This window comes from Homo sapiens, chromosome 13 (assembly GCF_000001405.40).
Source record: "Homo sapiens chromosome 13, GRCh38.p14 Primary Assembly".
NCBI lineage: Eukaryota > Metazoa > Chordata > Mammalia > Primates > Hominidae > Homo > Homo sapiens.
The window spans coordinates 49374495-49402361 of record NC_000013.11 but is presented as its reverse complement, the minus strand read 5'-3'; the positions used below and the strand labels follow the sequence as shown (position 1 = coordinate 49402361).

Here is a 27867-nt window from a genome sequence, read left to right as displayed (position 1 = left end):
ATGCCATCTAAACCTGCCAACCACGAGCCCACTCAGCTTTCTACCTAATTCCTCATCCCCAAACCTTACAGAGAGTTTCGTAATTTTAAGATACTTTACTCTATAATTGTATGTGTATAATCACTTTAATAATTTTTTGTAGCCTTTAGACTTTGTAATTCTTATAAGAGGTGTTATGCATTCTGACCGGTAATGTTTAGGGGGAAAAAAAACCTTCTTTCCAACAGCAATAATTACATTTGGTTTGCACATACATGATTAAACTGCTCTTTTGTTTTTGGTGTCAATATTTTTCTATGTTCTTTATAATTTTCCCTTTTATAACTGCAAATTTTGGTCCAAGTTTCAAAATATACCGTATTAAGAAATACATTTTTTTCATAAAATTGCACAGTTTAAATTATAAGTACTCTAAAACCTTCCTTGCTTTTTAAATGTTAAGATTAAGTTTCTAATACAAGTACTTGTGTGTTTACTTGCTCCACTTTCTTATGGTTGGGAATAGCATCTTCCTTCAGGAGCTAGCATATTAGCAGGTGAATCTGTTATTATTACTATCAACATGACTTTTTTAAAAATAACCTTTATTTACATTTTTAAACAAGGTGGTCCAGCCAGTTTAATCAGTTGACAAAACCCCATGCATGAACAAGTATAAGACTTAAGACAGAAAAAAGTGATGAGAAAAAATTTTGTTTATCTCTAGACTTTTTTCTTTTTTGGCCCAAGAATTTATTTTGCCTCAGCTTTACACGCATTCTTGTGACGTTACAGGACTGAGGAGGGAGGAAGTAAAAGGGAGCTGTGACTGTGGTACGTATCTGAAAGCAAGTGTTAGAGAGGGAGTGGAGAACGCATAAGCAAGCTGGTTTGACCAGAAACAGAACTGCCTGTGACAGATTAAGAGACAAGCAAGGCTTGGAATCTGAGAGCAAGCAAAGAGAGTGGAAATTTACAGCTGCCCTATGTGAGTGTTCAAGTGATCATTTTCTGGTAACGTTTTCCAGTGGTAACTGTTACTCTTCAAAAAGAGGGACAGAAAGTCAAGACCTAATTGTGGAAACTCTTTTCTCTGCCACGCTTGGTAATAGGAGGCAACCTCTATTAAATGGACGATAAAGGCTACTTCATCTAAAGTGCTTTGAGCTCAAGAAAGAGCTGTCTTCAGCACCTCACCATGTGTCTACATTTTGTTGCTTAGAAAAGCCTAGGCATTTCTGTAACATTTGGTGAGTATCAACAAGGTTATCTATACTGGTTTATAGAAATGGAAGGAATATGGTAAACTTTAGTTTTAATTGAGGTTCTGCAGTTATTACTTATATATGCATTATAAACCATGCTGTTACCTTGTTTCTTTGTGCATAATGAATTGCTGTTACTAGGAGAGGTTTAAAAAAACTACAAAACAATACTTCTCTGTTGCCTAAGGCACTTGAACCATTACCAACTATTCTGTGTTCATGGAATATCTTATTTTGGAAATGGGTTTTTATTTACAAAGAGTTTCCAAAAATAAAATAGTGGCAGTACAGTATACCTTTTTTCATGTTTCTCTTTCAACTGCATGAAAATTAGAAAGTTATCTCTTTCTGTCTATTGTTAGTAAATTTTGAATTATCACTGTTTTGTATTATAAATTACAGCATTCTCTCATAATTTAAATAAAAATGTTGATACTGTTACTTCAAAGGATATATAATTTAAATGTTGACTGCTTCTTTTAGACCCAATAAGTGACACCTGATTTTTCCTACTTTATGTAAAATGAATGAATGCATTTGGGTTTCTAAGTAAGGAATAAAGCAGTTATTTTGTTCTTACAGTTTATACCAAGCTTTCCTCTCGTATAATCTTATTCTGTTGAAGAGCTAATATAACCATGTGTGTGTGTGTGTGTGTGTGTGTGTGTGTGTGTTTGTGTTTGTATAAGCAATAGAGCAAAGAAAAATAAACTCTTAAAAATATCTATTCACATTCCAATAAAACTTTTTTTGTATAATCTTAAAATAGGAGAGTGTATGCCAATTATATATATCTTTTTAAAGGCATGGAGGGAGGCATGTAATCATTGTTCTGTAGGAGGAAGAAAGTGTATGTTGTTAACTGTGAAATTGAGTCACTGCATGAGGATACACCACTCTAAGCAGAGTTTCTAATCTACCCTCTGCTAGCCTCAAAAAATATATATGTCTTTAGTTATTGATTCAAGTGAATCCTTTAAGGCAAAACAACTGAAATGAAAACTTCTGCAGAGTATCAGTAAACACATTAGAAGGGCTTGTACCCTAGATAGACCATAAAATGGCTGTAATTTCTCTAACATTTCCTCTACGTGTACAGAAGCCTGTAAAACAGGTTTTGTTTTGTGGGATTTTGCAGGTTTTAATTTTTTTTTTAGACTGTTGACCTATGTATAAGAAGCAGCTCAACTGGTCTGTGGGAACCTTTTCTGGGCTAGTTAGTATCTTGCACTTAAAAGTAAACATCATAGAGATAATATCACAAACTTACTTTTACTTCTTTATAGATTTTCCCATGCTCAGTCCTTCTTAGACTGGTGGAAAATTATTTGCATACAGCTTCACACTCTTCAGAATAATTTTTTATTTTAAACTAATCATTCACTGTGTTACCTTAGTGATGGTACCATTTCCCAGGCCCATAGGAATGTAAATATAGAAATAAAGAATAATGCATTCCCAATTTACAAACACTTTGTATTTGAGAAGTTTACTTGTGAATGGGTTGTTGGAAATTTAGAACCCATTTTCCCTGGGAAACAGTTTATCAAGTGACTGTTGGGCGTTTATTATAGTCTAAGCATGTATTTTACCCATGCTGTAGAAAAACCATTGCTACCTTGAAAAATATAAGAAAGTCAATTCCAATGACGAAACTAAATATAAAATAATTATGTTGGATAAGATATTATTTTTATTCTAAATATGAATGCTTAAAGAAAAGCAAGTTTAATAGGTGGATAGGTATTTGGAAGGATGCTTATGGGTTTTCTGGGTGCTTTCATGAGCTTTCAAGGTTGATTGCACTGTTTTTGAGATCTAATCTGACATTGAAATCAGTGATTTCTCTTTTTCTTGCTACAAGAATATTTCTGGCCATTGAGTTTGTACTTAGCCATTCCTAAGGGTCTAGCCCAGTGTGTGGCACATAGTAGGTACCTGATAATAGTTATTGCATGAGGACTAAACTGTTTCTTTGGTTCACAAAAATTGAAATGGGTTATTTTCCAAGATATCCAATAAAGGAAAGAGGCTTAGGGGCACACGTTTTTCCTTATGAGAAAGAGATGGCCTGAAAAGAATTGACTGAATTGTGAGATGTGAACAAAGCAAAAGTAAGATAGAATAGGTCTAACTCTGAAGAGAACAAGAAAAGACCATGGTATAACTTGGTTGCTGCCTTGAATGAGTAGGAATGGTGCTGAGGGGAGGCAATTTACAAGGTTAGGTATCTTGAGTACATGGGACATTCTAAAGTCAGGTGTCAACTTTAACTCAGAAGGATTATGTATTTGCAAATGTTTACTAGGACCCATATGAAGAAATGTGACTTATTTGGAAAACTTGTCTTGGGTCTATCCAAGTTAACTTTACTGGTCCTGAAAGTCTCTGTGAATTGCCAGTATATGAAATTTAAAAGTCAGTAATGCAATATGCATATGTAATGAAATAATAATGAAATAAACAATACAGTAGATGCAGGTTTTGGTTATCTTGGATGATTTGTAATGGCGTAAAAACTCTTGCATTTGATCAAGAAATACTTTCTTTAGTCTATTGTAAATCTTATGTAAAAAGTAATGATTTTGAGTGGTCCTAAATGGTATATAATAGGTTCTTAACAAGTATTTACTGAATGGATACAGGTAGATTTGGACAATTTTCCATTTCTGGGATATATATATGACTGTGTTTACATGCACATATATATTCGTAATGTGGCTTAAAGATTATATTTAGCTGATAGTCACATAACAAAGAAAAATCTATTAAAACTATATTAGCATGTCTATTAATTATAGTCAAAGTTGGTATTTCACTAATTAATTAGTTTAAACAGAGATCTTTACTGCTTATAAGTGAGATAACATACTTTGCAGTTTTGTGACTTAAATGTCTCAAACTTCTAGCAGAAACTCATATAGTCCCTTCCAACTTTGGAAGGATGAAAGATTATATCAAATTACTCAGCCAGAAAAACCGAATCAACTTTGAACAGCTTGGGGATAACAGATAACTTTAGCAAAATCACTTTCATCTCTATTCTCTCATGTTAATGTTTTTATAGATTGACAGGTCATAGACAGGCACAGGGCTTACTGAAGCTATGAAATAGTTGTATTTCACACTATTTGTATAAACCATGTCTTAATATCAATAACAGTAACTAACCAAAATTTGTTATGTGTAATATGTATGTGCTTACAAGAAAGAATGAAAACTGAATTATGAGTCTCCCTTGATAATTCTGTTTTTTAAAGAGTAACCATTTGTTAATTTCAGTAAGATCTAATGCTTTAATGATAGTTACCAGTTTTTGAGAATACTGACTTTGGTTCAGATCGCTGCTATAAGTTGAGATTGTAAAATTCTAATATAAAATTTTCAATCATTGACAATTATTAATAGCTAATAAAGGTGGAAAATTTTAGCTCTGACAAATGACTGGAGCTGTCAACAGAAACATCAGTGTGAACGTAATGAATAAAGTTACTAGTTTTTTTTTCTGGAACTACAATAGCCTAGTAGGATCCTTAGATAATAAATGTAGTAGTAGTTGTATATATTCCTAACTTTATATGTTAATTATTTTTAAAAATGTATTTCAGTGTTACTGTACATTAGAAATAAAGAGTAATTAACAAGGGACATGAGTTTCTCTTATAAAAGAGTTTTTCTTCTGATGTAAGTCTGACTGAGGCTTCCAGATGAATGGGACTCATAAAAAGCTCCTCACAACTTTTCCATTTCTGTGTAAATTGCCCATTTTTAGAAAGTGCCTCTCCCTCAAATTTGGTTAATAAAACTTATAAAAACAAGTTATTCTTAGTCATTTTTAACTGAAAAAGGGATTGTCAGTGAAAGTTGTTATTTATACTTTATTGTTTCACTCATATCTATAGGTTTTCAAGTACAAAATTCAGTTGTGGTGCTTTGTAATTACATTTAGGATGCATATTTTAAAATGGAAAAATTGAAGCATAGAAGATACTGATTGGAAGATTCTTTGACATATATAATATGGTTCATAATGATATGGTATTATTACATATATAATGATATGCTTTGTAACTTAACCATCTCTGTGAAGGCAATTCTAAATTATGTTTTTTGGGGGAGAGTCTTCTTGGATACAGTAGCAAATACAGTAGAACTTTAAGGTGCACTTTTTTGTTTTAAGATTTTCATATAATCAAATGCACCCATTTTAGGAGAATGGTTCAATTAGTATTGACATATGTATGTACTCATGTAACCTCCATCCCATTTAATTTTAAAAAATGAATCTTACAGGCACAATTTTTTGCCATGTACACTTGATTTCATTTCTTTCTATCTGTGAATCCTATTTGGAATACAGGTAAAGGAATAGCATCCCTGACCTTTTCTGAATTTTTTTTTTGTTTTTTTGAGATGGAATCTCGCTATATCACCCAGGCTGGAGTGCAGTGGTGCGATCTTGGCTCACTGCAACCTCCGCCTTCTGGGTTCAAGTGATTCTCCTGCCTCACCCTCCTGAGTAGCTGGGATTACAGGCGCCTGCCACCACACCCGGCTAATTTTTGTATTTTAGTAGAGACGAGGTTTCACCATGTTGGCTAGGCTGGTCTCAATCTCCTGACCTCATGTGATCCACCCACCTTAGCCCCGCAAAGTGCTGGGATTCCAGGTGTGAGCCACCGCGCCTGGCCCTGAAATTTTTTTTTATGTGGTGGTAGGTTTATTTTAATTTTTTTAGTTTAACAGAAGGTGCCTGTGCCTTAAGTTAAATTAACAAGCTCTTAAGAAATCATTTTGGAAATGTTCCTGTCTAACTCATTGTTGATTGTAAAATAAACTTATGTGAGGAAAAGAAGGTTCATTTTTTAGTTGTCTTTCTTAAAATGAGTTAGCAGTTTGGTTATACCTCTGGAAATGTTGAGACATCTCTTTTGGCTTCAGATATAAATTTCCCACTCCCTTCAGTTTTCCTGGGAAAACTTTGACATTCAAAATGTTATTTTTTTAAGTTTTTTTTTTTGAGACAGAGTCTCACTGTGTTGCCCAGGCTGGAGTGCAGTGGCACAAACATGGCTCACTGCAGCCTTGACCTCCCAAAGTGTTAGGATTACAGGTGTGAGCTACCGCACCTGGCCTCAAATTATTATTGAATAGCATAGTTAGAGATTAGATATTAGACATTTTTCCCTTTGAAATATTTTAAGTGGGATAACAACAAGGGCATTTAATGCTCCAAGTGGCTATTCCCCTCTTCCCCTAGGTCCTCTCCTACCCCCCTGCCCCCTGCCAACTCTCCTTTCCATTTATGTCACTGAACATATTCAGATGACTCAATTGGGTGGTTGATTTTGGGCCATCTTCAATGGTGCTCACACACAAGTTAGGAATATGAAATATTTTACTGTGTATTAGGAAAGAGAATGCTGCCAAAATCTACTACAAAATCTACAGGGTGTGAGTTCCCTGGGAGCAGAGTTGGATGATCTTTTTTGGCTTTCTCTCCAGAATCTGAGCCAAGTACTACTCTTTATGAAACTTTATAGCCAAAGAAATCATGTTTGAATAATGCTTTGAAAAGACATGACAGGCCAGGCGTGGTGGCTCATGCCTGTAATCCCAGCACTTTGAGAGGCTGAGGCAGGCAGATCACAAGGTCAGGAGTTCCAGACCAGCCTGGCCAACATGGTAAAACCCTGTCTCTACTAAAATACAAAAATAGCCGAACGTGGTGGTGAGTGCCTGTAATCCCAGCTACTCGGGAGGCTGAGGCAGGAGAATCGCTTGAACCCGGGGGGCGGAGGTTGCAGTGAGCCGAGATCATGCCATTGCACTCCAGCCTAGGCAATAGAGTGAGACTCCGTCTCAGAAAAAAAAAAAAAAGAAAGAAAAGACATGACAATCAGATATTCCACAGTTTGAACTTAAAAAAAAAAGGTTATTTGTTTATTCATTCAAAATACCATTTAAGAGAGACATTTCTACTATAAAAGCATTTGCATGATCTATTATACAAGCTTCGGAAAAAACAGAACATTTGAAGAAAGAAGGAAATTAAGCATCCACAAGCAAACTACATTACTCAGAGGCAATCACCGTTAACATTTCAAAATTATTTTTTCTATACATAGGTTTTGTGTGTTTGTGTTTTTGTTTGCTTTACATAGTTGTAGTTATGCTCTGTAATTTGGGATGTTGTTTTTAACATTAACATTTCCATTCTATTTCACATTCTTTGGAAATATTTTCCTAGACATATTTCATCAAATTTAATAAGTCGCTGGTTTTAAGACATATGGTTACTTTATGTACAACCGAGAAAGAAAAGAATCTGCCTGTTAGTGTAAGGCACCAACAATTGTAAGACACACCTAAGCTTTGAAAATGTTAAAATGTAAAATAATTGTAAAAAGTTTAAAAGTTTAAAAAATCTGTGACATATGCTAATGTTCCATCAACTGGGTATATCACAATTTAATTATTTCCCTCTGTTAGATTAGATATTTCTCAGTTTTTTATGATAAAAAATTGCAGTAAACATTTTTGCATGTAAAGATAATCCTTTATTTTAGTTTATTTTCCTAGGACAGATTACCAGAAATGGAATTACTATAAAGCCAGAGGTTGTGAACATTTTAAGGTTCTAGATTCATATTTGTCAAATTATTGTCTAATTTATATCTGCACCAGTAAGAAATGAGAGCCTGTTGCAAAATACCATCAATAGAATTGAGTTTGTCAAAACAACAAAAAACTTAGTAACATAATGGACAAAATAGTCTTTCACTTTGAGTTTGCATTTTTTTTTATTATAGAGAATGGTTAAACATTTACTAATATGTTCATTAACTGTAATTCCTCATTTATGGTTTTCACTTATCTGTATGTTTCCTTAATGATTTTCTTAATTGTCTTAAAGAGATCTTTTGTAATGATATTAGCCCTCCATCTTTCAGATTCATATCACAGAATTCTCTAGTTTGTTGTTTGCCTATAATTTTTTTTATTATTTATCTATAGAAATTCAAATTTTTGTGTTTGTGGCATATTCGTATTAACTTTGATTTGTTGGTCTTTTTCTTTGAAATTTATTTTATCACTTATAAAATTACAGAAACTATTTCACATCCAGAAATTTGAAAGTCACTTATATTAACATCTATATCTGAGCTGTGTTGTTCATTGATGTGTTTGTTTCTTGTGCTATTACTGTGTTACAGTACTTTATAACACTTTTCATTTCATTTCCTCCTAATTTTCCTTTTTAAAATTTGTTATTCTTGCTTATTTAGTATTCTTGACTAAATTTAGATACCAAAAAAATTTTTTTGGACATTTGATTGGAACTGTATCAAACTGTGGACTTTAAGAATAACTGACATTTAAATAATATTTATTCTGTCTATTCAAGAACAAAATAGAGTGTTTTTTTTAACCTCAAATCTTTCCTATCTTAATTATGTAGGTTTTCTCCACAGTCTCTTTATTATTTCAGAAAAAAGAAATGTGCTCATTATAAATAATGCAGAAAAATACCTACATGAAGAAAGTTAAACCATCACAAATCTCATAATTTAGATAATGTCATTAAGATTAGCTAAGCCACATTCTAGAATCATTCTGTGACTATAAGATTAAAAGGATGGCTAGCTGAAGGGATGAATAGATAAATAGACACATACATCTATAAGTACATCTTCTATTTCTCTGTTTTATTTGTTAGTTTTCTATTTCAGGAAGAGTAATTATCCTATTTTCGAAATTAAGGTTTTGTAGTTTTTTAAAATACAGATCTGGTATAGATTTTGTACATATTTAGTTGGCAGTATGATCAAAATATGCTTTTCATTATGTTTTCTGACTGGCAATTTCTTATATGTGAAAGCTGTATGTATATTTATCATGTATTTGACTACTTAACCTAATTTCTACTAATTTCAGTTGTTCATATTTTTAGGTATATAATCATATTGTCTGTTAATTACAATTTTGTCACATCCTTCCCAAATTTTGTAGCATTTATTTATGTTTTATATTTTAGTGCATTGATCACAACATATGGTAATGATAGCGTGATTGTGATGACCTTTGTTTTATACCTCCTTTTAGTAAGTATGCCTCCATTAACCATTTTTTTGTAAATTGAGCTAAGATTTGTATCTCTCTTGGTTTTAATTTTATTAGATAACTTTTTCAGATGCCACTGAGATAATTTTTATTTGACTTATTGATATAATTTATTATATTCATCAATTTTCTATTATTAAAAACCTGATTTGGTATTTTGTTTTGTAAACACAGCTTTTGATTTTTATTGGCCAGAATTTTACTTAGGGTCTGTATTGAACATATTTAAACTGAAAATAATGTAGATCACTTTCCCAGTAGCTCCTGTTCTCATTTCTGTCAGTAGCTATCTTTTATCTCTTTCCCTACCAGACTCCTCTGTTTTTTGTTTTGTTTTGTTTTTGTTTTTTTTGAGACAGAGTCTTGCTCTGTCGCCCAGGCTGGAAGTACAGTGGTACAATCTCGGCTCACTGCAACCTCTGCCTCCCGGATTCCAGTGATTCTCCTGCCTCAGCCTCCTGAGTAGCTGGGATTGCTGGCATGCACCACCATGCCCAGCTAATTTTTTTTTGTATTTTTAGTAGAGATGGGGTTTCACCATGTTGGCCAGGCTGGTCTCAAACTCCTGACCTTGTGATCTGCCCACCTCGGCCTCCCAGAGTGCTGGGATTACAGGCGTGAACCACCGCCTGTTCCTCTGTTTCCTTTCAAGCAATGACTTCCTTGTTCTACCTAGAGCATATTAAGGTCACCAAATTAAAACTATTTAATATAGCCTTTATTGTACCTAATATACATATGAAATAGTATTAAATTTGCAAGGGTAATTGGCTTTATATGTATGATTATGTCTATTACATACACTGTATATGTAGTATAATAACCTCTATATATTCTCTTCATGACAACTAAATACATATATTAAATGCTTTGTGTGTGTGTGTGTATAATTTCTCATGAACTCTGCATTTCTTATATTCATGTTGTAATATTGCTTGATATATATTTATGCATCCTTTTATTCTGAACATTTTTGTGTCGTTTTGTTTCTATTATGGCTCTTGCAGAATTTAGAGCAGAAATGTGTGTGTGTGTGTGTGTGTGTGAACCCAATTTGAGAGTTTGAGAGTCTTGGTTTTTTAGTAGTAGAATTTAACACATTTGTATGTATTGTAATTATTGGTTGCTCTTATTCCTTCTATATTGTTTTATATTCTCTGTTTACTATTTGTTTATACTTTCCTTTTCATTCCTGATTTTTGCTGATTTGGTCAAATTATTTTTGTTCCTGTTTTCCCCCTTCTGGTGGTTGCATCCTACTTCCATTATTCTAATATTCATCATTAAATGTTTAATAAACAATTCAAGAAACAGGTTTATCTTAATTTGTGTATGATGTGATTATAGAAAACCCAGAGACTTAAATTAGTTTGGCATGACAAACCCATATAAATTTTATTATGATTTAATCATTATTTCTATCCTTTTCCTTGAACAAAGTCTATAAAAGAATTTTAGTTGTATTTTTCCAGATGGTTGGATTTTTTAAAAAACATTTTGCCTCTATCAAAATACTTCAGGAATACATTTTTAGCAGTCATATTAAGCATCACAGACACATTATCAACCTTTACTTAGATTTAGCCATGTATTTTATTGGTTTCTTTGCTCAACTGCTTACTTTTCAACTGTTTTCTCATTTTTCTGTTTCTCCTCCATCTTCCTTTCTCTTCCCCCTACTCCTTCACCATCTTTGTCCTTAGGTAATTTTAGTTTGCCCTCACATCTGCATAATTGGTAAAGTATAGAATTCTAGGTGAAAAATCTTTTTCCCTAGAAACTATGTAAACAGTGTTTCACTGCCTTCTGTCATTTGGTGTGAAGTTACTAATCCTGATTCCACTCTGACAGTCTGGTTCTTAGGTGCCACTCTAGATTTTTCCCCTTTATGGAAGTTTGTGGGATTTCGCTTTAGAGTTCAGAAATTTCACAGTGTATCTTGGAATAGGCCTTTTTGCATTCCCTCTGTGTAATAACCATTAGTTTACTTAAATCTGAAGACATGTTCAGCTCTAGGAATTTTGCTTCCTTTTTATTTGTTGATGTATTTGTTACTCTCTCATCAGTTATCTGTTTTTTTCTTTTCCTTTAAGCATTTATATTCAATCAATATTGGCTCTCCAGCTCTACCCTGTATATTTCCAACTTTTCTGTGAATTAGTTCTTTGCTTTTCTTTGTATTTTACTCTTCATTCCAGATTTCCATGGCTTGGTCTTTAAATTGTGGATTTGTTTTTCAATTCTATACCCTTCTACCAATCAGCTATTCTATTGCATTGCATGTTCTTAGTTCCAAGAATGTTTTCTCATTCATTGTTTACTTCTTTTTCATAGCAGCCTGTTCTTATTTTATGGATGTGATAGCATAGTATATCTTTTGGTTATATAAATATAATATAATTTTTACCATCCCCCCCAGGGTTTGCTCTATTTATTTTTACATTTCTCTTTTATATTCTTGATTTTCATCAAACACCTCATGATTCTTGCACGTGATTTATATTTATTAGCGAGGGACTGTACTAGTTGGTATTGGCAGCTGATATGACTTTCTTCAGCCACCTTAAAGAACTGGGCAAAGTAGCTGGGCACAGTGGCTCACGCCTATTATCCCAGGACTTTGTAAGGCTGAGGTGGGAGGATCACTTAAGGTCAGGAGTTCGAGGCTGCAGTAAGCTGTGACTGCCACTGCACTCCAGCCTAGGTGACAGAGCAAGAACTTGTCTCTAAAATTTTTTTTAAATATGAAATGGGCAAAGTATAGAATTAGGAAATGTACAGAATAAGAAAGTTAAAAAGCTAGTATGGGTCAGGTGTGGTGGCTCACACCTGTAACCCCAACACTTTGGGAGGCCAAGGTGAGAGGATCATTTAAACTCAGGAGTTTGAGACCAGCCTGGGCAACATACAGAGACCATGTCTCTACATAAAATTAAAATTAGCCAGGAGTTCGAGGCCAGCCTGGGTAACATGGCAAACCCCGTCTCTACTAAAAATACAAAAATTAACCGGACATGGTGGCACATGCCTGTGGTCCCAGCTACTTGGGAGGCTGAGGTGGGAAGATTGCTTGAACCCAACAGGTCAAGACTGCAGCAAGCGGTTATTACACAACTGCACTCCAACCATAATGGGACAACCTTTTACAGCTGTCATACTGGCGAAATTTTTAAATTCTGACAGGTCCAAATGTTAGGAAGGATGGGTGATAACTGCAACTCACACTACACAGCTGTGAAAGTATAAACTGGAATAAAAACTTGAGAAAGCAATTTGGCTATATCGAATGAAGATATAGCCATTTTCTCTTTTGTCTCTGCTTTGAATCTATTTTAAAGCAGTGTTTTGTTTTTTGAGACAGAGTCTTGTTTTGTCACCCAGGCTGGAGTGCAGTGGCACATCTTGGCTCACTGAAACCTCTGCCCCCTGGGTTCAAGCGATTCTCATGCCTCAGCCTCTTGAGTAGCTGGGAGTATAGGTGCCTGCCACCACACCCAGCTAATTTTTGTATTTTTTGTGGAGACGGGGTTTCCCCATGTTGGCCATGCTGGTCTCGAACTCCTGGACTCAAGTGATCCACCCATCTTGGCCTCCCAAAGTGTTGGGATTACAGGACTGAGCCACCGCACCCAGCCTGTACTACATTTTTTATCTATTTATCTTTTGATGGACACTTAGGTTGGTTCCATGTCTTGGCTATTGTAAATAAGGTTGCAATGAATACGGAAGTGCAGATATTTCCTTGACATACTGATTTCAGTTCCTTTGGATATATACCCAGAAGTGGGATTACTGGATCATGTGGTAGTTCCATTTTTATTTTTGGCATATCATCCACACCGTTTCTTATAGTGGCTGTTCTAATTCACCTTCCCACCAACAATGTACAAGAGTTCCCTTTTCTCAGCATTCTCATCAACACTTTTCTTTCTTCTTTTTTATTTTGATTGGCTATGTCACAATCTATTTACTAGCTAGTTGCTGCATCCAGGACAGGGAATACTGTGGCCAAACCTGGGTCATGTTCCCCCGCTTTTGTTGGGGTGAGGTGATGTGGGAAGTAGGGCAGACACATCTATCACCAGAAGAAACCCGGACCAAATAGCTACCAGAGGTTTTCTTCCTTTTCTTTTACTTCTCTGATTGAGTTATTTCTACTTCTATCATTATTTCCATCCATCTTTTCTTGGAGATTTTTGGGGCAGTTTCCTTTTTAACTTCTTTAGTTGAATCCTTATTTATTTTTATTCCTATATGAATGAGTTATAATTGTAGATTCTCACCCTCCCACATGTTCTGCCAACAATATACAGGCTCCTTTTCAAGAACTATTTCTGATTTTTTAGCATTAATTTTGTTGAGCTCTTTGTGGGCCTCATTCCATCTCATCTTTTTGTTCCATTTTTAGTAAATATACACTATCTGTTCACACATAAATGGTATATTGGCTAAGGATTTAATTATGGTGTTATAGACTTTACTTATCAGAACTCTAGGTTTTCTCCATGGCCTTGGGGCATTTGGTTCATGGAAGTCTAAAACCAACCTGATTTTTATGCTTTCGTTTGTTTTTTTAAGGTCATTTTGTTGGAATGTGATCTGAGAAGGAAATGTTTATTTTAAAAGCTGCAAGACACTGAATGTTGGGTCTTATCATGAATCTCAACTAGAAAAATCGTTCGAATGATCAAGTTTAGATTGTTTTTCTGTTTACGCTGTTATATCTTTGATTCTGTTCCAGTTTTAATGCCTTTGCTGTTTTTGGCTTCCTATCCTCCCCCCTCCATTGTTGTAACACCTGTTTGTTAGGGGATAACACTCCATTTTCTTCATATCGCTATAAAATACCTATATAGATATAAAGATATGTATCCATACACACTCTATATCTTTTCTTCATCATTTTAGTTTTTTCGACCTTTTCTCGCCTTCTGGGAAAATTTTGCACGTGTCTGTGTCTCTCACTACATCGTGAGCCCTTTGAGGCTTCTTTGTTTCGTATTTCCTTGTTCAGTGCCTAGTACATTATAAGTGCTCAGTAAATACTTTTCGAATGAATACATGCACACTAACTAATTTTGTACCTTGAAGTTGCCCCAGACCCATTTTCTGTATTGTTATTCTGCTCTATGCAGTTTGGGATTCCCAGTCTGCATCTTGGGCATGTGTGTATTTATATGTGCATATATGTGTGTATTTTCAGTCTTTTACCTTGGCTAGCTCTTTTTTTTGTCTAAAAGAGCTTTTTGTCTCCTTTTCTTCTTTTCTTAAATTTATATCTGTTCTAGCTTTATAGAGAATTAATTTCAGAAGCAACCTTTCTTGCCCAAGTCTGCAGGGCATTTATTTCCTTTCATTGTGTTCCTTTAATAATAATAAACAACCTATTTGTTGTTTATTCTGCTTACTGACTGCTGGAAGAGGAAAAGTATAACAGGGCCATTGTCAGTCCACTAACATTTCTGTGCTGCATGGCCTGCTGTCAGCATTAATGCTGAGGGCACGTTGATGTGCGTGGTCTCAACACCGTTTTCAATGCCTAGGAGGCATTTATCTAGTGTCAGCCTTCTGGACTAACATGCGTCTTTTCCTGTCCCCACTGCCTGCTTTGCTGAAACAGAATGTATGTTCTTAAAACTCTGAGGTAGACTTTATGGAAAAATTACTTTCCTGCCACCTTATCCCCACAAGGCACCATTGTCAGGCCTCTCCATTCCTTTTGTTCCCAGCTTAAGCACTTTATTTTTGGCTTTATCTTTATCATGATAGGATACTGGGGGTTAAAGACTCAGAATGGGTGTGGGACAGTGGTGAATAACCTAGAGCCCTGATGCTCAATCTTACTTTAAGAACAACTTCGTTTTACAGATAGAACAAGTGACACCTAGAAGGGGGTGATTAACTTCTTTTGAATCATACAGCAGATCAGTTACAATCAACTAGAGGGAGTTTACGTGTCTTGTGTTTGTGTAGAAGGTTTGAGTGCTACTTGCTTCATTGCTTAAATGACCACCAGTGGGCTAAATGATGTGATTGGAGTAGATGTATATATAGTGACCAGCATGGTCGCCCAGAGTGTGAGAAAGGCAGCCTCAAGTTTCCAGGTGATGGAGGAGGTGTTTAGTCTTGGAGTGGGGGAGGTGTTTAGTCTGGGAGTGGGGGAGGTGTTTAGTCTGGGAGTGGGGGAGGTGTTTAGTCTGGGAATGGAGTGGGGCTGGCCATGGTCTGAGAAGAACTGGGAGAGGCAGGAGAGTTCTGCCTTAATTTGCAGGGGGTCTGGGTGCTGGAACTCAAGCATAGTTTAAGAGCATGAACTTTGATTTCCTTCAAAATATGGATCCCAAAATAGAAGAATAATGATAAGATGAAATTTTAAAACATTGTTAAACTAATCATATTATACTTATTACAATAAGTAGGTATAGTAAAATATGAAAGTAATTTTTAAAGGAGATTGTATTGAGGCAGTATACTGTGTGTTATTTCCCCATTATATAACCCCATTGCCCTAAAATGTTTGCTTTTTCCACTTAATAATAGGCTTCAAAGAACAGGGATTGTGTTTTTCTTGTTTGTGGCTCTATCCCTAGTATTTAGCAAAGTGCCTGTGCTCAGTAATTACTCAGATTATTTATTCAATGAATAAATGAACAAACCCACCATCAGATGAAAAGGGGAGATAGTGAATCAGAAAATGCTTATCACCAGATTGACATGGAAACCCTGAAAACGTTTTTAATTTAAGTAAATTAGCATTAGCTTGTTACAGTGAGAACCAAGCAAAGTAATAATGGACAAAAAATCATATCATATCTATGATACCATGTTATAATTTGTACTCTGTTTTGATGTCAGGGAGTATTTAAAATTCCTACAGTTATATATCTTTCCCTTAGTGCTATAGAACTACAGGGAGAAAGACAGCAATTACAGGCATACCGTATTTTATTGTGTTTCACCTTTGTTGTGCTTTGAAGACACCGTGTTTTTGAAAAATTGAAGGTTTATGGCAACCCTGCATTGAGGAAGTCTATTGGTGCCATTTTTTTCACCAGCATGTGCTCACTTTGTATCTCTTGATACATTTTGTTAATTCTCACAATATTTCAAACTTTTTCATTGTTAGTACATATGTTGTGGTGATCTGTGATCAGTGATCTCTGATGTTAACTATTGTAATTGTTTTGGGACACCACAGACTGTGCCCATAATCGATAAATGTTGCATGTGTTCTGAGTGCCCCATCGACTGGCCGTTCCCCTGTCTCACTTTCCTCAGGCCTCCCTGTTCCCTAAGATACAACAATACTGAAATTAGGCTGGCTCATAACCCTATAAGTGGCCTCTACGTGTTCAAGGAAAAGGAAGAGTCACATATCTCTCACTTTAAATCAAAAGATGGAAAAATGATTAGTCTTAGTGAGGAAGGCATATCCAGAGCGGAGGTAGGCTGAAAGCTAGGCCTTTTGCATCAGTAAGTTAGCCAAGCTGTGGATGCAAAGGAAAAGTTCTTGAAGAAAATGAAAAGTGCTACTCCAGTGAAAACACAAATAATAAGAAAACAAAACAGCTAATTGTTAATACGAAGACAGTTTCAGTGGTCTGGATAGAAGATCAAACCAGACACACATTCCCTTTAGCCTAGTCCAGAGCAAGTCCCCAGCTTTCTTCAGTTCTGTGAAGGCTGAGAGAGGTAAGGAAGATGCAGAAGAAAAGTCTGAAGCTAAAAGAGATTGCTCCATGAGGTTTAAAGAAAGAAGCCATCTCCAGAACATAAAAGTGCAGGGGAAAAAGCAGCAAGTGCTATTTATAGAAGCTGCAGCAAGTTATCCAGAAGATCTAGCTGAGATCATTGGTGAGGGTGGCCACACAAAACAACAGATTTTCAGTGTAGATGGAACACCCTCGTATTGGAAGAAGATGCCATCTAGGATTTTCATAGCTAGAAAGGAGGAGTCAGTGCCTGGCTTTAAAGGACAAGCTGACTCTCTAGTTAGGAGCTAATGCAGCTGGTAACTTGAAGTAGGAGCTAATATTCATTTCCCATTCCAAAAACCCTAGGCTCTTAAGAATTATGCTAAATCTATTTGGCCTGTGCTCCATAAATGGAACAACAAAGCCTGATGACAGCATGGTTTACTGAATATTTTAAGCCTTCTGTTGAGACCCACTGCTCAGAATAAAATATTCCTTTGAAAATATTACTGCTCATTGACAATGTACCTCATCATCCAGGAGCTCTGATGGAGGTTTACAAGGAGGTTAATGTTGTTTTCATGCCTGTTAACATCCATTCTGCAGCCCATGGATAAAGGAGTAATTTTGACTTTCCAGACTTGTTAAAGAAATACATTTCATATGTTCATATTGTTCTAATAAAAGTTAAAAAAACAAACAAAAGAAATACATTTCATAAGATGCAAGCAGCCATAGATAGTGATTCCTCTAATGGATCTGGGCAAACTTAATAGAAAAACCTGCTGTAAAAGATTCATCATTCTAGATGCCATTAAGAACATTTGTGATTCATGGGAGGAGGTCAAAATATCAACATTTTCAGGAGTTCAGAAGAAGTTGGTTCTAACTCTCATGGGTAACTTTGAGGGGTTCAAGACTTCAGTGGAGGAAGTAACTGCCAATATGGTGGAAATAACAAGGGAACAAGAATTAAGAATAGAGCCTGAAGATGTGACTGAATTGCTGCAATCTCACGATAAAACTTGAACAGGTGAGGAATGTTGCTTCTATGGATGAGCAAAGAAAGTGGTTTCTTAAGATGGAATCTACTCCTGCTGAAGATGAAATGACAACAAAGGATTTAGAATATTACATAAATTTAGCTGATAAAGCAGTGGCAGGTTTTGAGAGGACTGACTTCAATTTTGAAAGCAGTTCTACTGTGAGTAAAATGCTAACAAACTGCATCACATGCTATAGAGAAATCTTCCATGAAAGGAAGAGTCAACGTAGCAAACTTTATTGTCTTCTTTTAAGAAATCGCCACAGCTACTCCATCCTTCAGCAGCCAACAACCTGATCAGTCAGCAGCCATCAACATTAATGCAAGACTCTCCAACCAGCAAAAAGATTAGGACTCACTGAAGGGTCAGGCAATAAATATTTTTATAAATCAAGTTATACATATTGTTTTCATTTTGTTTTTGCTTTTGTTTTTGTTTTATTATACTTTAAGTTTTAGGGTACATGTGCACAATGTGCAAGTTAGTTACATATGTATACATGTGCCATGTTGGTGTGCTGCACCCATCAGTTTAGATATAATACTATTGCACACTTAATAGACTGCAGTATAGCGTAAATATAACTTTTATATGTACTAGGAAAAACCAAATACATTTTATGACTCACTTTATTGGGAAATTTGCTTTATTGCAATGGTCTGGAACTGAACCTACAGTATCTCCTAGGTATGTCTATACATGAATGCATTTGGCTTCTTTTTAAAATTCTACTTTAATGCAAAATATTTGATCATTGATTATTATGCATTCAGAGAATAAGTTTATGTTTTTTAAAATAATGGAAAAAGGTATAATTGACTCAAAGAGCCAGAAATGTCTAGGACATTTAAGATAGAATCATATCTAAACTACTGTGCCTTTCTCTTTTGTGAAATAGTTCATTAACTATGTCATGGAACTTCTTGTAATAATAGCAGCTAAGCATTATAGAATACATATAGCTAAACATTATAGAATATATTTATTATTATTATCACTTTCTTTGGTCAAAATATCTAGTTTTACATATCAACTTGGACTCTAAAATTATTTCTTGTATAATCCTTATGTTTCTATTGCAGGAAAGATTTTAAACTTTGTATAAAAACTTTCAAGCAAAACTTTAAAAATATCTTTTTAAAAATATATGTATTTAAATTTGGCATAAAACTTGAAACTCATTTTAATTTGATCACTTTTAATGTTTCAGATTACTGAATTCATGTTATTGAAAACTTATAAGACATTGGTATAAAAATTTAAGCATATTAAGAGTTAAAGTTATAATTTTTGTTGGCTTATTTGTTTTTAGCATTCCATATTGGAAGAAGAGATTTCTACACATGAAAAAAATGCCTTTGTTTAGTAAATCACACAAAAATCCAGCAGAAATTGTGAAAATCCTGAAAGACAATTTGGCCATTTTGGAAAAGCAAGACAAAAAGACAGACAAGGTAAGAGCTAAAACAGTAACATTATGATTAAAGTACATGCATCGCAATGCCAAAAACCAATGTAAAAGCTTAATGAAGAATTCAAAATATGGTCTGTGATGTGCACATAGACCCTCTATAAATAGATTTAAGTTGATTTCAGGTTTTATGCAACTGATTATTATTTAGTCTGTTGTGATGAACTTTAGGTTCACTCTCTAGAGACTCTGACCACACCGGATCCCTCTAGACTACACAGCTTAAAGATCTAAAAGGTTATACTGGTGTGTAATGTTACATTTACATGAAAGGTAAAAAGTTTTTATTTAAAGATTGACTGATAGTTTCTGTTACAGTGAATCTCATTTTCATACGGTTTTAAGGTCTTATTAAGTGGGGCTTCCTCATAGGAATGCTAGTTATTCCTTCAAAGGGATATTGAATCCTATATATTCGATTTCTCTCTAAAGTTTATGGCAAGATTCAAGATATCTATAAAAGAAATACACGAGTTCATAGTATCCTTCTATTCCAGTAAATGATACAATATTGAATTCTACAAGGGGTGTAGAAATAGCTTATTCTAATTCTAGTACACTTTGTAATATTGAGCCAAATCTTGGCCCAAATAGAAGAAAAATGGCTTTTTTGCAAGTATAAATCTAAATGGTAGAAGAGAGAAAAAAGAAAAAAAAACCTTTTTACACATTTTCATTAGTAACTAGGAAAAGGCCAACTAAAACCACAATAAATTCAGATTACACAACTACTGTCTTGGCAAAAATGAAAAGGTGTGATGATGTTAAGTGTTGACAAGGATGGAGAGCAATGAGGACTTTCATTAACTGTGGATGATGACATATACATTGATGTAACTGCTTTGAAAACCAGTTTATTATCTGTGAAATACGAAGATATGCATGTGCCTGCAGTGCCACTCCTAGTTATAAACTCTAGAGGTATTCTTGCACATCTGCACCAGGAAAAATGTACAAGAATGTTCATAGCATTGTTGTTAATAAAAATCCTTTCATGGAAACAACCCAATGTCCTTGAACAGTAGAACCAATAAAAAAGTTGTGGTATAGGCATTAGTGTGGAACATTAGAAAGTGATAAAAATTAAAGAACTTCTGCCTACATGCAACAGTATAGATGCATTTCTTAAAAATAATGTTGAATGAAAGAAGCAAGTCATGAAGGGGTAATGTACTGATCCATAAAGTTGAAAATCAGTGGAACTAAGCTATATTGTTTCAGCCTAAGTTTTCTCATCTATAAAATAGGAATAATAAGAAATGTAAAGACATGTTTGTCACAAGAGATATAAAAATATTTACATCTGAGCTGAAAGGGGCCTTCAGGTGACTCCTGGGTGCTGAAAATGTCCTGTTTCTTGACTGGGTGATGGTCATAAAGATGTTTCCTTTATTATTATCCTTAACTCTCTCTTAAACATACTCTCCATGTATGTTTAAAGCACTCTTCTGTGGATATATCTCACAATTTAAGATGCTTCCGGTCTTTAGTACATTAAGGATTGCTTCAGTCAGGCTATTAAGGATATGAAAAATTACTTTTTAAAAGTAGTGTCAGCCAGGCGCAGTGGCTCACGCCTGTAATCCCAGCACTTCGCGAGGCTGAGGTGGGCAGATCACCTAAGGTCAGGAGTTCGAGATCAGCCTGGCCAACATGGTGAAACCCCGCCTCTACTAAAAATACAAAAATTAGCCAGGCACGGTGGTGGGTGCCTGTAATCCCAGCTACCAGGGAGGATGAGGCCGGAGAATCGCTTGAACGCAGGAGGCAGAGGTTGCAGTGAGCTGAGATTGTGCTGTTGCACTCCAGCCTCGGTGACAAGAGCAAAACTCCATCTTAAAAATAAACAAATAAATAAAAGTAGCGTCACCCAAGAAGCAGAACTAGAGAAAAATAAAAATAAATAAATAACAAAAGTTGCATCATGCTACCATGAGTTATTTTTATGTAATTTGCCTTATTCTACTCATTTCCTTCTTCATTTATAATGATTACAATATTATACTTAAAAGTAATGAAAGTATATTTCTTTAAAATATTCAGACAAATTGTTAACTAAATTAATCTGCTCTCCTTTCCTACCTATATTAATTTTAAAGATTTTTAAATTGAGATATTAAAAATTAACATACCATATAATTCACTATTTAAAGTGTACAATTCATTGGTTTTTAGTACATTCACAAAGTTTTGCAACTCACCGCTATCTAATTCTAGAACATTTTCATCACTCCCAAAAGAAACCCTGGAGCCATTAGTAGTCATTACTTATTTCCCTCTCCCCCAGGCCCTAATACCTACTAATCTATGTACTTTCTGCCTCTATGGATTTGCCTAGTATTCTTTAAAATATAGTGAGTTTTTTTTAAGTTTCATAGATAGCAAAAAAGACAGTGATTCTGTGTGAGGAATAAATGGATTGACAAAGAAAGCTTATGAGTTTTGACAATTTACAATCTTATACTTGGACCATTCGAAAATCAGAGGAATAGGGATTTGTTGAAAAACCTTAACACAATGCTTTAAATAAAGATCAGTAGCTACTGATAAGTCTTCAAAATGGAATCAATTTAATTTTCAAGCATAAAGTTTATATTGAATTGCTAGCAAAATTAGACAATGAGTGTGGTTTAAAAGATTACTGGGCCGGATGCAGTGGCTCACGCCTGTAATCCCAGCACTTTGGGAGGCTGAGGTGGGCGAATCACAAGTTCAGGAGATCGAGACCATCTGGTTAACGCAGTGAAACCCTGTCTCTACTAAAAGTATAAAAATTAGCCGGGCGTGGTGGCGGGTGCTTGTAGTCCCCGCTACTTGGGAGGCTGAGGCAGGAGAATGACATGAACCTGGGAGGCGGAGCTTGCAGTGAGCCAAGATTGTGCCACTGCACTCCAGCCTGGGCAACAGAGCAAGACTCCATCTAAAAAAAAAAAAAAAAGATTATTTAGTGTATGTTGACTAAGTAGAAATACCAAAGAGCTGTTTTATATAAATAAATTTTATAATACTTATAATATTTTCCAAAATAAAAAAGGCAGTGCTTACTGTTTTTGTTTTTTTGTTTTTTTTTTTTTTTAAATTTATTTTTTTATTGATAATTCTTGGGTGTTTCTCACAGAGGGGGATTTGGCAGGGTCATGGGACAATAGTGGAGGGAAGGTCAGCAGATAAACAAGTGAACAAAGGTCTCTGGTTTTCCTAGGCAGAGGACCCTGCGGCCTTCCGCAGTGTTTGTGTCCCTGATTACTTGAGATTAGGGATTGGTGATGACTCTTAACGAGCACGCTGCCTTCAAGCATCTGTTTAACAAAGCACATCTTGCACCGCCCTTAATCCATTTAACCCTGAGTGGACACAGCACATGTTTCAGAGAGCACAGGGTTGGGGGTAAGGTCACAGATCAACAGGATCCCAAGGCAGAGGAATTTTTCTTAGTGCAGAACAAAATGAAAAGTCTCCCATGTCTACTTCTTTCTACACAGACACGGCAACCATCCGATTTCTCAATCTTTTCCCCACCTTTCCTGCCTTTCTATTCCACAAAGCCGCCATTGTCATCCTGGCCCGTTCTCAATGAGCTGTTGGGCACACCTCCCAGACGGGGTGGTGGCCGGGCAGAGGGGCTCCTCACTTCCCAGTAGGGGCGGCCGGGCAGAGGCGCCCCTCACCTCCCGGACGGGGCGGCTGGCCGGGCGGGGGGGCTGACCCCCCCCACCTCCCTCTCGGACGGGGCAGCTGGCCGGGCGGGGGGCTGACACCCCCACCTCCCTCCCGGACGGGGCGGCTGGCCGGGCAGAGGGGCTCCTCACTTCCCAGTAGGGGCGGCCGGGCAGAGGCGCCCCTCACCTCCCGGACGGGGCGGCTGGCCGGGCGGGGGGGCTGACCCCCCCCACCTCCCTCCCGGACGGGGCGGCTGGCCGGGCAGAGGGGCTCCTCACTTCCCAGTAGGGGCGGCCGGGCAGAGGCGCCCCTCACCTCCCGGACGGGGCGGCTGGCCGGGCGGGGGGGCTGACCCCCCCCACCTCCCTCCCGGACGGGGCGGCTGGCCGGGCGGGGGGCCGACACCCCCACCTCCCTCCCGGACGGGGCGGCTGGCTGGGCAGAGGGGCTCCTCACTTCCCAGTAGGGGCGGCCAGGCAGAGGCGCCCCTCACCTCCCGGACGGGGCGGCTGGCCGGGCGGAGGGCTGACCCCCCCACCTCCCTCCCGGACGGGGCGGCTGGCCGGGTGGGGGGGCTGACCCCCCCATCTCCCTCCCGGACGGGGTGGCTGGCCGGGCTGAGGGGCTCCTCACTTCCCAGTAGGGGTGGCCGGGCAGAGGCACCCCTCACCTCCCGACGGGGCGGCTGGCCGGGCGGGGGGCTGACCCCCCCACCTCCCTCCCGGACGGCACGGCTGGCCAGGTGGGGGGCTGACCCCCCCACCTCCCTCCCGGATGGCACGGCTGGCCGGTCGGGGGGGCTGACCCCCCACCTCCCTCCCAGATGGGGCGGCTGGCCGGGCGGGGGGTTGACCCCCCCCCACCTCCCTCCCTGACGGGGTGGCTGCCGGTCGGAGATGCTCCTCACTTCCCAGATGGGGTGGCTGCCGGGCGGAGAGGCTCCTCACTTCTCAGACGGGGCGGCTGCCGGGCGGAGGGGCTCCTCACTTCTCAGACGGGGTGGTTGCCAGGCAGAGGGTCTCCTCACTTCTCAGACGGGGCGGCCGGGCAGAGACGCTCCTCACCTCCCAGACGGGGTCTCGGCCGGGCAGAGGCACTCCTCACATCCCAGATGGGGCGGCGGGGCAGAAGCGCTCCCCACATCTCAGACGATGGGCGGCCGGGCAGAGACGCTCCTCACTTCCTAGATGTGATGGCGGCTGGGAAGAGGCGCTCCTCACTTCCTAGATGGGATGGCGGCCGGGCGGAGACGCTCCTCACTTTCCAGACTGGGCAGCCAGGCAGAGGGGCTCCTCACATCCCAGACGGGGTGGCGGCCGGGCAGAGGCTGCAATCTCGGCACTTTGGGAGGCCAAGGCAGGCGGCTGGGAGGTGTAGGTTGTAGTGAGCCGAGATCACGCCACTGCACTCCAGCCTGGGCACCATTGAGCACTGAGTGAACGAGACTCCGTCTGCAATCCCGGCACCTCGGGAGGCTGAGGTTGGCGGGATCACTCGCGGTTAGGGGCTGGAGACCTGCCCGGCCAACACAGCGAAACCCCGTCTCCACCAAAACCAGTCAGGCGTGGCGGCGCGTGCCTGCAATGGCAGGCACTGGGCAGGCTGAGGCAGGAGAATCAGGCAGGGAGGTTGCAGTGAGCCGAGATGGCAGCAGTACAGTCCAGCTTCGGCTCCGCATGAGAGGGAGACCGTGGGGAGAGGGAGACAGAGGGAGAGGGAGAGGGAGAGGGAGAGCCGAAAAAGTTTCTTGTATAGCCCCGGCTCTTAGAGCCAGGCTGGCAACCTTTGATATGTAAATGCAAGCCATTAGAAACTAGGTCCACCCAAACATGGTGATTCCCCTCACTGTTTTTGTTTGTTTGTAACTGTGCCATTCATTATAAATAAACAGAGCCCAAGACCAAGAAGTGGTTTTTTGGATTATTTGTTTGTTTGTTTATGGCCTAAACATTTTTATTCTTTTAACCGTTAGCATACGTTTTGGTCACTAGGCTTCAGAAGAAGTGTCTAAATCACTGCAAGCAATGAAAGAAATTCTGTGTGGTACAAACGAGAAAGAACCCCCAACAGAAGCAGTGGCTCAGCTAGCACAAGAACTCTACAGCAGTGGCCTGCTAGTGACACTGATAGCTGACCTGCAGCTGATAGACTTTGAGGTAAGCCAGCTGTAAAAGGATGTCAGTGGTGCTTTTCAATTTTAATATCTATCTATCTATCTATCTATCTATCTACTATTCAACTTTTGCTTTTCATTATGGCTTTCCATGTGTTATTTTTTAAAGTTTTTTCTAAAATGTCTACAATTAATCTATTTTTTACAAAAGCAAAAAGCCAAACTATAGTTAAGTTTTATGCAGCTAGGTAGCAAAGATAACGGTTAATAGAAGTAATAATAAGAAGTAACATTTGTTGAATGCTTGCTATATGCCAGGTACAGTTTCAAGCATTCAACTCGTTGAATTCTTAAAACTACCTTTGTGTTTAATACTGTATTATTAGCCCCATGTTATAGATGAAGAACCTAAAGTTCAAAGATATTAAGTAATTTGCCCAAAGTCACTCACTTACTTCAGAGCTTCAAATTCAGACAGTTCTTTTAATGAACATATTATACCAATGATTTAAGAAATGTGTTAAGTGCTAGTAATATACTTATCTCCTTTTGAAGGCAATTATACCTAATTTACCTAAATAATAAACTGACTAACTAAAACAAAAGCTTAGAAATGTAAGTGGTGAATATGTCTAGTCATTTTATTATCTATTGTGTAACTCAGAGGTGGTGATTTTTCAGTGAGAAATGGATACATAGACAAGTTTGGGCATTGACTGTTGAGGCGACAGAAGTCCTGGTTTGGCTTTGTTGCTTTGTTTCTATCATAATACGAATTTTGTTCGTATCAGGTAGGTACTTGGGTCTCCATTCATTCTCAGAGATAGAGGAGATATGCAAAGTGAATAGCTTTTAGTTTTGTTCACTGAATAAGTGGAAGGAAAACTAATGACAGTGATTACTGTGATTAGACCAAGATCAGGTCAGGGCTTTGGGGATCTGTGGAAGTAGTAGCCTACAGCTCTCTGCACAAGTTAGACCAGGGAAGATTTTAGCAGCCGAAGCAGAGGAGGAGGAGTGCAGAGCCAGGAGGCGTGCAGTCCAGTTGTGGCTAGAAGCAAGACCAAGTGGGGACCCCGAAGGGCCCAGACTTCAGCTCATCCTTTCAGTTACAGCTGTCTTTTTCTTTCTTTCCCTTCCTTATTCTATCTCTTTCTCTGCCTTTGGCATTTTCTGACCCATAATCTTTTTCTTTTTTTTTTCAATTTTTTTAAATTATACTTTAAGTTCTAGGGTACATGCGCACAACGTGCAGGTTTGTTACATATGTATACATGTGCCATGTTGGTGTGCTGTACCCATTAACTCGTCATTTACATTAGGTATATCTCCTTATGCTATCCCTCCCCGCTCCCCCGACCCCACAACAGGCCCCGGTGTGTGATTTTCCCCTTCCTGTGTCCCAGTGTTCTCATTGTTCAATTCCCACCTATGAATGAGAACATGCAGTGTTTGGTTTTTTGTCTTTGCGACAGTTTGCTCAGAATCTTTTTCTTTTTCCTCTTGCTTGGCTTGCTTACTCTCCCTCTCCATCTTAGGTCTCCATCTTAGATTTAAAATCAGCTATATGTGAAATTAAAGTATAGTCTTACTGTATGTATATACTTTTCTGTTTCTTTTATTTAGTTTAAAATTAGGTATTATGAACACTTGTAGAAGCTGTGGCATAGTGAAAAACACACTTGACTCGGAATTAGAATTGTTTAGAGTCCCAGCTCTGCTCTTTCATGGTCAGTAACTTAACCTCTTTGAGCTTAAGTTTTCTCATCTATAAAATAGGAATAATACGAACTTACTGCATTGTTTTAAATATTAAACTAAATAAAAATATATACATATATATGTTGTGTTATATAGGGACACTAAATATAAATGCAAACTGTATACAAATGTCAAGTAGTAGTATTTTTTCATTTCCTCTTTTTCTCAAACTCAGGAACTAAAGTTAAGTGTAAGCTGGTTTGTTTTTGTTATAACCCTTGATTTTTTTTAGATTTAGTTGGTCAGTGACCATAAATAGGAAAATGATTCCCTATTCTTATAGTAGTATAGTTTTATAAATTTTCTGTTGTTTTGCTTGTTTCTCTGAGAACAGCAGCATATTAAGCTACTGTCGTCATTAATTCATAAGTACGCTTGAGTTAGTTTATGAGATTAACCCAATTTGCAGTGGAGTGCTAGAAGGAATATGACTAAGGATGGTTATGTTTTGAAGAATGAGTCAGGGATGAGATGTCGTCAGGTTCAGTGACCTGTAGAAGCTTTGAGCAGCCACAGAACCTCATAGGTTCAAAGTGCTTTCCAAGAATTGGGGAGTTAGGGAGGAGTATACCAAAGAAAAACTTTGGGTGCCTTATAACTTTCTTTGGCATTGGCTCAGATAACAAAAGTGGAATGTAAGAAACAGTTATGCAAGTTCCCCTTCTTTTATGTGGCACATCAAATATAAATTAAAAATTTTGAGAAGAAGTTCATTTAAAAATTATTTTGGAATTAAGACATTTAATTGCCTAAA

The 27867-nt window shown here is 37.8% G+C and overlaps 1 protein-coding gene across 12 annotated transcripts in view, besides 1 other annotated feature; it reads left to right on the top strand.

Moving 5' to 3' along the window:
- Window positions 1-27867, top strand: part of CAB39L (calcium binding protein 39 like) — a 135415-nt gene that overhangs the window by 41703 nt on the left and 65845 nt on the right. For 3 of the 12 annotated variants that reach the window (XM_047430695.1, XM_047430699.1, NM_001287338.2), the window contains 4 exons: window positions 775-967; window positions 1092-1229; window positions 19421-19562; window positions 25231-25395. In XM_047430695.1, the coding sequence (XP_047286651.1) occupies window positions 19452-19562; window positions 25231-25395 (276 nt within the window). In that variant the 5' untranslated portion in view covers window positions 775-967; window positions 1092-1229; window positions 19421-19451. Of the gene's footprint in view, window positions 1-774; window positions 1230-9282; window positions 9350-19420; window positions 19563-25230; window positions 25396-27867 lie in introns of those variants that run through there. The other 9 variants (NM_001079670.3, XM_047430698.1, NM_001287339.2 and 6 more) reach the window with 6 other exon arrangements.
- Window positions 14695-15196: an enhancer, noted in NCBI's record as "NANOG hESC enhancer chr13:49961302-49961803 (GRCh37/hg19 assembly coordinates)". NCBI's record gives its function as "activates a minimal SCP1, AML or CMV promoter by ChIP-STARR-seq in naive H9 embryonic stem cells {active_cell/tissue: H9 hESC(naive)}" and the evidence as "EXISTENCE:reporter gene assay evidence [ECO:0000049][PMID:30033119]".